This window comes from Homo sapiens, chromosome 5 (genome assembly GCF_000001405.40).
Source record: "Homo sapiens chromosome 5, GRCh38.p14 Primary Assembly".
Lineage (NCBI taxonomy): Eukaryota > Metazoa > Chordata > Mammalia > Primates > Hominidae > Homo > Homo sapiens.
This window is the reverse complement of record NC_000005.10, coordinates 133,181,276-133,195,079: the sequence shown is the minus strand read 5'-3', so window position 1 is coordinate 133,195,079 and position 13,804 is coordinate 133,181,276.

The window sequence follows — 13,804 nt, the reverse complement described above, 5'->3', positions numbered from 1 at the left end:
GCTCCTACCATTCAAGGAGCAACTGACCTGACCGCTACACGAGCCCCTACCCCGTGGTCTTTGCCCGTGCCGCTTTCCTGCTTTGGGGTACAAGCCAGAAGTCCTTCATAGGCCAGATACTACTATGTCCTCCCAAACTGGCATGTAGGCAAAGAAATTTTGTTCAAGAAAGTCACTAGCTGCCTTGGTTTCTCTCCAAAATTATAGAGATCATAAAACAGAGATGCTTAAAAATTCAAGGGAAAAAAAAAAATACAGTGCCTATCTTCAGAGTGTGACTACAAGACCCCAGGTAGCCAGTGGAATGCAATCCACTCCCTGCTTTTATCTATACCAGGTTACCTGCTAAGTCACATGAGGATTTGAGCATCTTATTTGGGTCTGCATGCTTTAGGCAGCAGCCATGCAGCAGACCCTGGGACACCAACAAGCATTGTCCTGTGCATCCACATCCTCCTTTGGAGCTGTGGGCAGCAAGTGGGGAAGCCTAATTTAACTAAATAACAACGTATGAAATTATGGAGAATACAAGAGTGGGGATTATCCTCCAAAATTCATAGCGAGGCTTCTTTAGCCAGCACCAGAGTATTTAGCATGCACTTTAAAAAAAACACACACAATTCATGCACGCTTCTTTCCAAGCTCATCTTTACATATATGGAACCAGCCCTTGCTCATGTGGCCCCAGAGAACATGGGCCATGCCCTAGAGGGCTTTCGAGGGCTCAGCCAGCACTCCACAAAGCAATAACCATTGACTTACCCCTACACCAAGCTTGGCGACATGTGCTCGGCCAGATCAGAGATTGCTGCCCTTCAGAGGCACCCTCTTCAGGATCAGAGCTTTGTTTCTGAGTAAGAGCAACCAGTATTGGCTGGGTTGTGAGGCCCAAGAGCTCTAACTTGAGAAAATGCCCCAAATCTAAACCTTTATCCACTGCCCAGCATGACATCTGCCATAGGTTGAAGCGTTGTGGGTCCTGTGCTACTTGGGACAGGTGAGAGAAACAGGTTTGCAAGCCGCATACCACAGACCCACAGTTCCCGACTCCCTCCCTGCCTGGCTCCCGCGGCTGGCCGGCCCCCTCATCCTTCCTAGCCTGGCCCTGTGGCTTCCTACCTTTCCCTTGCTTCTCATGCTTCCCAAAGGCTGTGTGAGATTATCTCAAAGCAGAACTGGGCATGGAGTTTTGCTGGCGTGGTCACACACACCATTTCATGCTGTAGTGCAGCTGAGTGACCCTCAAGATGTGAAGCCACACACATCATTTGTCCTATTCGAGTCTCATGCTTCCCCACCTCAGAAAACTCTCGGATCTCTCATGTCAAGGCAGATTACATTATTTTGAACCATTGTCTAGCCTCCAAAATATATTTTCTGTAATCACCTGTATTTCTCAAAAGGCTTCCTGTAATTATTATACATGTGAATTTTTCCTTATTTATAAAATATATATAAATTATTTTTAATACATCAACTTTAGTAGAAATTTGTACCAACACAGTAACTGTATGTGGCATTTGAAATAAGTTTGTGTTTACTTTGACCTATTACACAGTATTGAACACATGGTGTATTTACAGTACCACTTGGTATAACCATGACTCCAAATTATCATAAACTATTGTCATTGTAAATGCTCTTTTTCTGAGGATTTTACAATAAAACTTGAGAAAAGTCACCTTTTTCTGGTGCCAGTCTGTTTGCAGTTGTTAAAGTGAGAACTGATTAAGGCAAAACCACTCTGCGTCCTTCTCCCACCTTTCCATCGCAATTGCAGGTTCCTGCTCATCACAGTGCGATAGTCGTGCTCTGGCCCAGTCCAAAGAGTGGCTCGACAAAGGCAGGCATCTGGACCCAGAAGTCTCTCTTCTCCATGTGGAAGTTTCAGCTCCCAAAATGCACAACCACATCCGGTTCAAAAGTGCCCACCATCTGCCCTGGCAGGCACTAAAAATTCACTATAGCTCCAGACATTAATCCATTACCCCGCCCACTCTTGGCTCTCACTGGGGCAGACCTTCTAACTGAGACATAGAAAGTGGGAAGTGCCCAGTAATCACCAGGCTACTAACGGGGAGCCAGCACTGTGCCGGGTATGACCCACAGAGGGCTGAACAAAGGAGACACAGCACCTGCCTTCAGTGAGCTTAAAGACGGCTATGCTATGACAGTATTAGGCAGGGCCCCTAGGGTGCGTGTGTATATATGAAGAAAGAGACAGAAAGAGAGATCTATTTTAAGGAATTGGCTCATGTGACTATGGAGGCCGGTAAGGCCAAAATCGGCCTGGTAGGCAGCAGCTGGAGACCCAGAGAAGAGTTGCAGTTTGAGTCCAGAGGCCGCCTGCTGGCAGAATCCCCTCCTTAAGGGGAGGCCAGTCTTTTTCTATTATGGCCTTCAACTGATTGAATGGAGCTCACCTACATCACAGAGGGTAATCTGCTTTCCTCCAAGTCTACTGATTTAAGTGGTAATCTGAGCTGGGCGTGGTGGCTCATGACTGTAATCCCAGCATTTTGAGAGGCCAAAGTAGGAGGATCGCTTGAGCCCAGGAGTTTGAGACCAGCCTGGGCAACACAGGTAGACTCCATCTCTACAAAAAAAAAAAAAAAATTAATTAATTAATTAGCCAGACATGGTGGTGGGCACCTGTGGTCCCAGCTACTTGGAAGGCTGAGGTGGGAGGATCCCTTGATCCCAGCAGTTTGAGGCTGCAGTGAGCCATGATCTCACCACTGCATTCCAGCCTGGGTAAGAAAGTGAGACACTGTCTCAAGAAATAAAAACCAAGAAATGAATGTTAATCTCATTTTTAAAATACCTTCACAGAATCATCTAGAGTAGTATTTGACTAGACACCAGAGACCACGGCTGTCTTAGTCTGTTCAGGCTGCTATAACAAAATACCACAGACTTTGTTGCTTATAAACTAATTTATTTCTCATCATTCTGGAGTTTGGGAGGCCCAAGATCAAGACAGCAACAGACTTGGTGTCTGGTGAGAGGCCACTTCCTGGTTCCTAGGCATCCATCTTCTCACTGTGTCCTCACGTGGTGGAAGGGGCAAAGGAGCTTCCAGGAGCCTCTTTCTAAGGGCTCCAATCCCATTCACTCTCATACCCTAATCACCTCGCAAAGGCCCCACCTCCAAGTACCATCACAATGGGGGCTGGTTTTCAAGATATGAATTTGTGGGGAACACAAACATTCAGTCTTTAGCAGTGGCCTGGCCAAGCTGACATAACATTAATCATCACAGTGACATAAACAAGGTACTGCTCCCCATCTCTCCTGGAGGTGTAAACTACTACATGTGCCTAGCCCTGTGATAAGCACTTAATAAGCACCTGTTTTTAAACCTTATAACCACCCAACAAGGTACGTGTTATTATTATCCCCACTTTACAGAAGAGGAAGCTGAGGCTCAGAGCAGCAGAGCCAGAATTCGAATCTATGTCTGTGGTCAGAACGCATACTGTAACTGCTGATCCTGCTGCCCGAGATATCCACCACCATGAAAATGTCTGAACTGCAGCTGCTCCAGCCTCACTTCCCTGCAGACCCCGGGAAGCAAAAGCTACCTATAGCAGGGGCTTTGCTCTAACCTCCATCCCAAGAGAGCCAGCTTCCCAGACCAGTGTGGCAGTCTGGAGAGTAGCCAGCAGATGGTCCCAGAGCTACAATTTTCAGTTAGCTAAGGCTGGATATGCCCAGAGCTAAAATTAATATTGTTTTAAAATCAAATGTATTTATGCAATAAATAGTACATCATATTATCTGCAAGTCTAGGTGAGTATCATCTTTATGTGTAAACTTCCATCCAAAGAAAATTAGTTTATGCTTCCTTAACTCTCACTTATCCAAGGCCACTGGCCATAATCCCCATGTTCAGAGTTCCTCCCCTTGAACCAGAGTCTCCTGCCAAAGTGAAATCCAGTTACCAAGCAGGAGATATTGGTCAGCAGTGACCAGTGGAACTGGGCGGCCCAGGAAGAAGGGATGGGAAGTGACGACCCCCAGGACCCACCCTGTATGCAATGGGGAGGATGCACTCCCAGGTAGAGCAACAACAGGGAGACTTTCAGCATCCCTGGGGCACAAGACAGAGAATGTGACTTATAAACCAGACCCTTGGGGAACCCTAAAAGGAGCCAGGCCCTGTGCTCCCACTGATCAGGCTCTCTGGAACCTGCAGGGCAATCTGAATCAGCATCTCCTGATGCACTGCTAGGTAAGCTCACTCACATTTCTTCAGGATATAAGAAAATGCATGCTGTATATTCTCATTTTATAAAAGAATACTGGAGTGCGGGGGCGGGCGGAGTTGGGGGTGGGTGGCCTGGTGGCTCATGCCTGTAATCCTAGCACTACTTTGGGACGCCAAGGTGGGTGGATCACTTGGGCCCAAGAGTTGGAGACCAGCCTGGGCAACACGACAAAACCCCATCTCAACAAAAAATACAAAAATTAGCTGGGTGTGGTGACACACACCTGTAGTCCCAGCTGAGGTAGGAGGATCACTTGAGCCTAGGAGGTGGAGGTTGCAGTGAACCGAGATCACGCCACTGCACTCCAGCCTGGGTGACAGAGTGAGACCCTGTCTCAAAAAAAAAAAAGTAGAATTCGGGGGTCAGGGGCAAGTGGGAATAGGCCAAAATGTTAAACACCGTGTTGTGGGATTATAAGTGGATCTGGTTTTCCTCTACATGTTTATTTCTATTGTCTAGAACTTCTACAGTAAACTGTTTATATCACTTCTGTGATCAAGATTAAGAGAAATCTGACACTGACACTCACTCGTGAGTGGTACAGGTGCAACACAGACAGCATGGTTCCCTGTCCACCCTTGCTCCCTTTGCAGCAGTCAGGAACAAGGACTCATGTCTTTGGTGAACAGGGGCACCCTGAGGGGAGACTGTTATCTCCCAAGAGTGAGACACGATTACAGAGCCTGTAGATCCTACCTATTCCTTCCTGCGCAAAGGAGGGAAGGAAAACAAAACAGATGAGCCGAAGAAGATGGACTCATTCCTACACCCAGGCAAGAATTCCCCTTGGGCTACCACCAAGTATGTAAGTGCCTCACCAACTTCTACCTCAGAAACAATGGTCAGATTTCCCTTCCTCTTCAGGGGGAAGATTAAATCATTCAGAACAATTTTACCACTAAAAACACTTTTAAAAATTTTTTAAAAATAAAAAATGTTAAAGAACATCATACAGGAGGTGAGGAAAGAATGGAGAAGTGAGCGCCCAGAGACAGGGGCAGGGCAGGGAGCTGCTTCTCTCCCAACAGCGCTTGTCTCTCCACACACACTTGGGCTTTCCTTCCAGTGGCCTCACAGGGAAATGGGGGCAAGAGTTACAGGTGGGCAAAGAGTTCTTACACTTGGCACCAAAAGCATGATCCATAAAAGGAAAATTTGATACACTGGACCTCATCAAAATTTCACATTTTTGCTCTGTAAAAGATCCTGTTAACAGAAAGACAACATTCTAGGAGAAAATATCTGCAAACCACATATCCAACAAAGGCCTAGTATCTAAAATACATGAAGAGCTCACAAAACTTATGGTAAAATAACAAACAATTCAATTGGAAGATAGGCGGAAAAAAAAAAAAAAAGCCAGGTGCAGTGGCTCATACCTATAATCCCAGCACTTTGGAGGCAGAGGTGGGCAGATCACTGGAGGTCAGGAGTTCAAGACCAGCCTGGCCAACATGACAAAACCCCATCTCTACTAAAAATACAAAAATTATCCAGGCATGGTGGCATGCACCTGTAATCCCAGCTACTTGGGAGGCTGAGACAGGAGAATTGCTCGAACCCCGGAGCTGGACGTTGCAGTGAGCTGAGATCGCACCACTGCACTCCAGCCTGGGTGAAAGCACAAGACCCTGTCTCAGAAAAAAAAAAAAAAAAGGAAAAGAAAAGACAATGGGCAAAAAGAATTCTTAAGCAGATATTTCACCAAAGAGGATATATAGATGTTAAATAAGCACATGTAAAGAAATTTAACATTATCAGCCATTAGGGAAATGCACATTAAAAACACAATGAGATATCACTACACACCTATTACAATTGTGAAAATACTACTCTGATAAAATAAATAGTGACAAAAAACACTGCTGAGGCTGCAGAAAAACTGGGTCACTCATGCATGTCAGATGGGAATATAAAAAATGGTACAGACTCTCTGAGAAACGGTTTGGCAATTTTTTTAAAAATCAGCATTTAACTATCATTTGATTCAATAATTGTACTTTTGGGCATTTATCCCACAGAAATACTTACCTTCACACAAAAACCTCTATACAAATGTTCATTGCAGCTTTACTCATATCAGACTAAAATGGGAAACAATCTAGATGTTCTTCAATGGGTGAAGAGTCAAACTGCAGTCTATTCATACCATGGAATATTACTCAGCAATAAAGAGGAATGACTTAGTGATAGACACATCGACCTTGAGTGACTCTCCAGAGAATTAAATTGAGTGAAAAAGCCAATACCAAAATATTGCAAACTGTACATGATTCCATTCCAAGATTACATACTGTATATATGTATATACCATTCCTGAAATGGCAAAATTGTAGAAATGAAGAACAGATTAATGATCATCAGGGATGCAGAAGGGGGATGCAGTGGGAGGGACCTGGGTGTGGCTATAAAAGGATGACATGTGAGATCCTATGGCAACAGAAATGCCCTGTATCTTGACTGTGTCAATGTCAGTATCCTGGCTGTGATCTTGTACTATGGTTTTGCAAGATGTTACTTTTGGAGGAAACTGAGCATAAGTACACAGGATCTTGCTATAGTATTTCTTATAACTGCATGTGAATCTGTAATTATTTCAAAAGAAAAACCAAAAACCTCCAGGGCCAGATGGTGTCACCAGTGAATATTATCAAACATTTAAGGAAGATGTAACACCAGTTTTACACAAACTCTTCCAGAGAATAGAAAGGGATGAAAAAAATCCCCAACTCAGGTTGCAATACTAGAAAATAAGAACAACCCCAGAAAGGGACAATTACAAGCCTATTTTACTCATAATGTAAATACCAATATGCTAAACAAAATATCAGCAAACTAAATCCAGCAATTTAGAAAAAAGGATAGTGCATTATGTGTAAGTTGGATGAATCCCAGAAATGCAAAGTTGATTTAACATTAGAAAAAAAAATTGATGTAATTCACATTATCAGCTTAAAGGAAAAGCATATGAGCATCTCAAGAGATGTAGAAAAAGCATTGAGAAAATCCCAAATTCATTCATATTCATGATTTCCTCTAAGCAAAGTAGAAACAGAAATTGTCTTAATTATTAGAGATGAAGGTCTATAGCAAACATGCTTCACTGAAGTAAAAATATTAAAGTAAAACATTGAGAGTGCCTCCTTTTAGACAGGGAATAAGGCAAGGATCCACTTTGACTTAGCACTGTACACTGTACACTATAGTCCTAGCCAGATCAATAAAGTAAGAAATAGAAACAAAAGGTGTAAGAATTGGAAAGAAACAAGACTATATAATTGTATATGTAAAAAATTCAAATGAGGGGGCTGGGCTAGGTGGCTTATGCCTGTAGTCCCAACAATTTGGCAGGCTAAGGCGTGAGGATTGCTTGAGGCCAGGAGCTCCAGACCAGCCTGGGCAACAAAGCCAGACTCAGTCTTACAAAAAATTTTAAAATTAGCTGGGCATGGTGGCACATGCCTGTAGTCCCAGCTACTTGGAAAACTTGCTTAAGCCCAGCGAGGCTGCAGTGAGCTATAATTGTGCCACTGCATGCCTGGGCGACACAGCAAAACCCTCTCTCTACGAAAAGAAAATTAAAATGAATATACAAGATACATTATTAAAATTAGCAACAGAGTTTAGCAAGGTTGATGATGAAGAATTAATACAACAAACATAATTATATTTTTCCATAACAGCAACAGTTTAAATGCATTTTTAAAAAAAATACCATTATAATAACATTTTTAATAGGAATAAAATCAATAAAGATATATAAGATCTCTCTAAAGAGAATTCTAGAACTTTGAGAGACATTAAAAACATTAAATTGAAAGATATACCATGTTGATTGGAAGATTTAATAATATAACAATGTTAATTTATCCCAAACTGATTTAGAGAATAATTGCAATCCCAATTTTTTTTTTTTTTTTTTTTGAGATGGAGTCTCGCACTGTTGCCCAGGCTGGAGTGTGGTGATGCAATCTCAGCTTACTGCAAGCTCCACTTCCCAGGTTCACACCATTCTCCTGCCTCAGCATCCTGAGTAGCTGGGACTACAGTTGCCCGCCCAATTACAATTTTAAGAAAGGATTTTGGCAAGCTAATTCTAAAATTTATATGGAAGTTTAAAATGTCAAAAATAGTTAAGAAATTCTTGAAGAAAAATGTCTGGGAAGGGCTGGGCACGGTGGCTCACGCCTGTAATCCCAGCACTCTGGGATGCCAAGGCAGGTGGATCACTTGAGCTCAGGAGTTCAAGACCAGCCTGGGCAACAAGGCAAAACCTCATCTCTACCAAAACTACAAAAATTAGCCAAGTGTGGTTGTGTGCACCTGTAGTCCCAGCTACTCAGGAGGCTGAGATGAGAGGATCGCTTGAGTCTGGGAGGCAGAGGTTGCAGTGAGCCAAGATTGTACCACTGCAGTCCAGCCTGGGTAACAGAGTGAGACCCCATCTAAAAAAAAAAAAAAAAAAGAAAGTTTGGGAGGACTTACTCTATCAAATACAAGACTTAATATAAAGTTATAGTAATTAAGACAGTATGTAACTGAGCAACATTAGACAAACAGGTCAATGAAACAATATAGGAATCGATGGGAGGAGCCAAGATGGCCGAATAGGAACAGCTCCGGTCTACAGCTCCCAGCGTGAGCGACGCAGAAGACAGATGATTTCTGCATTTCCATCTGAGCTCTGAAGACAGCAGTGGTTCTCCCAGTACGCAGCTGGAGATCTCAGAACGGGCAGACTGCCTCCTCAAGTGGGTCCCTGACCCCTGACCCCCGAGCAGCCTAACTGGGAGGCACCCCCCAGCAGGGGCACACTGACACCTCACATAGCAGGGTACTCCAACAGACCAGCAGCTGAGGGTCCTGTCTGTTAGAAGGAAAACTAACAAACAGAAAGGATATCCACACCAAAAACCCATCTGTACATCACCATCATCAAAGACCAAAAGTAGATAAAACCACAAAGATGGGGAAAAAACAGAACAGAAAAACTGGAAACTCTAAAAAGCAGAGCGCCTCTCCTCCTCCAAAGGAACGCAGTTCCTCACCAGCAACGGAACAAAGCTGGACGGAAAACGACTTTGACGAGCTGAGAGAAGAAGGCTTCAGACGATCAAATTACTCTGAGCTACGGGAGTACATTCAAACCAAAGGCAAAGAAGTTGAAAACTTCGAAAAAAATTTAGAAGAATGTATAACTAGAATAACCAATACAGAGAAGTGCTTAAAGGAGCTGATGGAGCTGAAAACCAAGGCTCGAGAACTACGTGAAGAATGCAGAAGCCTCAGGAGCCGATGCAATCAACTGGAAGAAAGGGTATCAGCAATGGAAGATGAAATGAATGAAATGAAGCGAGAAGGGAAGTTTAGAGAAAAAAGAATAAAAAGAAATGAGCAAAGCCTCCAAGAAATATGGGACTATGTGAAAAGACCAAATCTACGTCTGATTGGTGTACGTGAAAGTGACGAGGAGAATGGAACCAAGTTGGAAAACACTCTGCAGGATATTATCCAGGAGAACTTCCCCAATCTAGCAAGGCAGGCCAACGTTCAGATTCCGGAAATACAGAGAATGCCACAAAGATACTTCTCGAGAAGAGCAACTCCAAGACACATAATTGTCAGATTCACCAAAGTTGAAATGAAGGAAAAAATGTTAAGGGCAGCCAGAGAGAAAGGTCGGGTTACCCTCAAAGGGAAGCCCATCAGACTAACAGCGGATCTCTCGGCAGAAACCCTACAAGCCAGAAGAGAGTGGGGGCCAATATTCAACATTCTTAAAGAAAAGAATTTTCAACCCAGAATTTCATATCCAGCCAAACTAAGCTTCATAAGTGAAGGAGAAATAAAATACTTTACAGACAAGCAAATGCTGAGAGATTTTGTCACCACCAGGCCTCCCCTAAAAGAGCTCCTGAAGGAAGCGCTAAACATGGAAAGGAACAACCGGTACCAGCCGCTGCAAAATCATGCCAAAATGTAAAGACCATCAAGACTAGGAAGAAACTGCATCAACTAACGAGCAAAATAGCCAGCTAACATCATCATGACAGGATCAAATTCACACATAACAATATTTACTTTAAATGTAAATGGACTAAATGCTCCAATTAAAAGACACAGACTGGCAAATTGGATAAAGAGTCAAGACCCATCAGTGTGCTGTATTCAGGAAACCCATCTCACGTGCAGAGACACACATAGGCTCAAAATAAAAGGATGGAGGAAGATCTACCAAGCAAATGGAAAACAAAAAAAGGCAGCGGTTGCAATCCTAGTCTCTGATAAAACAGACTTTAAACCAACAAAGATCAAAAGAGACAAAGAAGGCCATTACATGATGGTAAAGGGATCAATTCAATAAGAAGAGCTAACTATCCTAAATATATATGCACCCAATACAGGAGCACCCAGATTCATAAAGCAAGTCCTGAGTGACCTACAAAGAGACTTAGACTCCCACACATTAATAATGGGAGACTTTAACACCCCACTGTCAACATTAGACAGATCAACGAGACAGAAAGTCAACAAGGATACCCAGGAATTGAACTCAGCTCTGCACCAAGCAGACCTAATAGACATCTGCAGAACTCTCCACCCCAAATCAACAGAATATACATTCTTTCAGCACCACACCACACCCATTCCAAAATTGACCACATACTTGGAAGTAAAGCTCTCCTCAGCAAATGTAAAAGAACAGAAATTATAACAAACTATCTCTCAGACCACAGTGCAATCAAACTAGAACTCAGGATTAAGAATCTCACTCAAAACCGCTCAACTACATGGAAACTGAACAACCTGCTCCTGAATGACTACTGGGTACATAACGAAATGAAGGCAGAAATAAAGATGTTCTTTGAAACCAACGAGAACAAAGACACAACATACCAGAATCTCTGGGACACATTTAAAGCAGTGTGTAGAGGGAAATTTATAGCACTAAATGCCCACAAGAGAAAGCAGGAAAGATCCAAAATTGACACCCTAACATCACAATCAAAAGAACTAGAAAAGCAAGAGCAAACACATTGAAAAGCTAGCAGAAGGCAAGAAATAACTAAAATCAGAGCAGAACTGAAGGAAATAGAGACACAAAAAACCCTTCAAAAAATTAATGAATCCAGGAGCTGGTTTGTTGAAAGGATCAACAAAATAGATAGACCGCTAGCAAGACTAATAAAGAAAAAAAGAGAGAAGAATCAAAAAGACGCAATAAAAAATGATAAAGGGCATATCACCACTGATCCCACAGAAATACAAACTACCATCAGAGAATACTACAAACACCTCTACACAAATAAACTACAAAATCTAGAAGAAATGGATAAATTCCTCGACACATACACTCTCCCAAGACTAAACCAGGAAGAAGTTGAATCTCTGAATAGACCAATAACAGGATCTGAAATTGTGGCAATAATCAATAGCTTACCAACAAAAAAGAGTCCAGGACCAGATGGATTCACAGCTGAATTCTACCAGAGGTACAAGGAGGAACTGGTACCATTCCTTCTGAAACTATTCCAATCAATAGAAAAAGAGGGAATCCTCCCTAACTCATTTTATGAGGCCAGCATCATTCTGATACTAAAGCCTGGCAGAGACACAACCAAAAAAGAGAATTTTAGACCAATATCCTTGATGAACATTGATGCAAAAATCCTCAATAAAATACTGGCAAAACGAATCCAGCAGCACATCAAAAAGCTTATCCACCATGATCAAGTGGGCTTCATCCCTGGGATGCAAGGCTGGTTCAATATACACAAGTCAATAAATGTAATCCAGCATATAAACAGAACCAAAGACAAAAACCACATGATTATCTCAATAGATGCAGAAAGGGCCTTTGACAAAATTCAACAACGCTTCATGCTAAAAACTCTCAATAAATTAGGTATTGATGGGACGTATTTCAAAATAATAAGAGCTATCTATGACAAACCCACAGCCAATATCATACTGAATGGGCAAAAACTGGAAGCATTCCCTTTGACAACTGGCACAAGACAGGGATGCCCTCTCTCACCACTCCTATTCAACATAGTGTTGGAAGTTCTGGCCAGGGCAATTAGGCAGGAGAAGGAAATAAAGGGTATTCAATTAGGAAAAGAGGAAGTCAAATTGTCCCTCTTTGCAGATGACATGATTGTATAGCTAGAAAACCCCATTGTCTCAGCCCAAAATCTCGTTAAGCTGATAAGCAACTTCAGCAAAGTCTCAGGATACAAAATCAATGTGCAAAAATCACAAGCATTCTTATACACCAACAACAGACAAACAGAGAGCCAAATCATGAGTGAACTCCCATTCACAATTGCTTCAAGGAGAATAAAATACCTAGGAATCCAACTTACAAGGGATGTGAAGGACCTCTTCAAGGAGAACTACAAACCACTGCTCAAGGAAATAAAAGAGGATACAAACAAATGGAAGAACATTCCATGCTCATGGGTAGGAAGAATCAATATCATGAAAATGGCCATACTGCCCAAGGTAATTTACAGATTCAATGCCATCCCCATCAAGCTAGCAATGCCTTTCTTCACAGAATTGGAAAAAACTACTTTAAAGTTCATATGGAACCAAAAAAGAGCCCGCATTGCCAAGTCAATCCTAAGCCAAAAGAACAAAGCTGGAGGCATCACGCTACCTGACTTCAAACTATACTACAAGGCTACAGTAACCAAAACAGCATGGTACTGATACCAAAACAGAGATATAGATCAATGGAACAGAACAGAGCCCTCAGAAATAACGCCGCATATCTACAACTATCTCATCTTTGACAAACCTGAGAAAAACAAGCAATGGGGAAAGGATTCCCTGTTTAATAAATGGTGCTGGGAAAACTGGCTAGCCATATGTAGAAAGCTGAAACTGGATCCCTTCCTTACACATTATACAAAAATCAATTCAAGATGGATTAAAGACTTAAATGTTAGACCTAAAACCATAAAAACCCTAGAAGAAAACCTAGGCAATACCATTCAGGACATAGGCATGGGCAAGGACTTCATGTCTAAAGCACCAAAAGCAATGGCAACAAAAGACAAAATTGACAAATGGGATCTAATTAAACTAAAGAGCTTCTGCACAGCAAAAGAAACTACCATCAGAGTGAACAGGCAACCTACAAAATGGGAGAAAATTTTCGCAACCTACTCATCTGACAAAGGGCTAATATCCAGAATCTACAATTAACTCAAACAAATTTACAAGAAAAAAACAAACAACCCCATCAAAAAGTGGGCAAAGGACATGAACGGACACAGACACTTCTCAAAAGAAGACATTTATGCAGCCAAAAAACACATGAAAAAATGCTCACCATCACTGGCCATCAGAGAAATGCAAATCAAAACCACAGTGAGATACCATCTCACACTAATTAGAATGGCAATCATTAAAAAGTCAGGAAGCAACAGGTGCTAGAGAGGATGTGGAGAAATAGGAACACTTTTACACGGTTGGTGGGACTGTAAACTAGTTCAACCACTGTGGAAGTCCGTGTGGCGATTCCT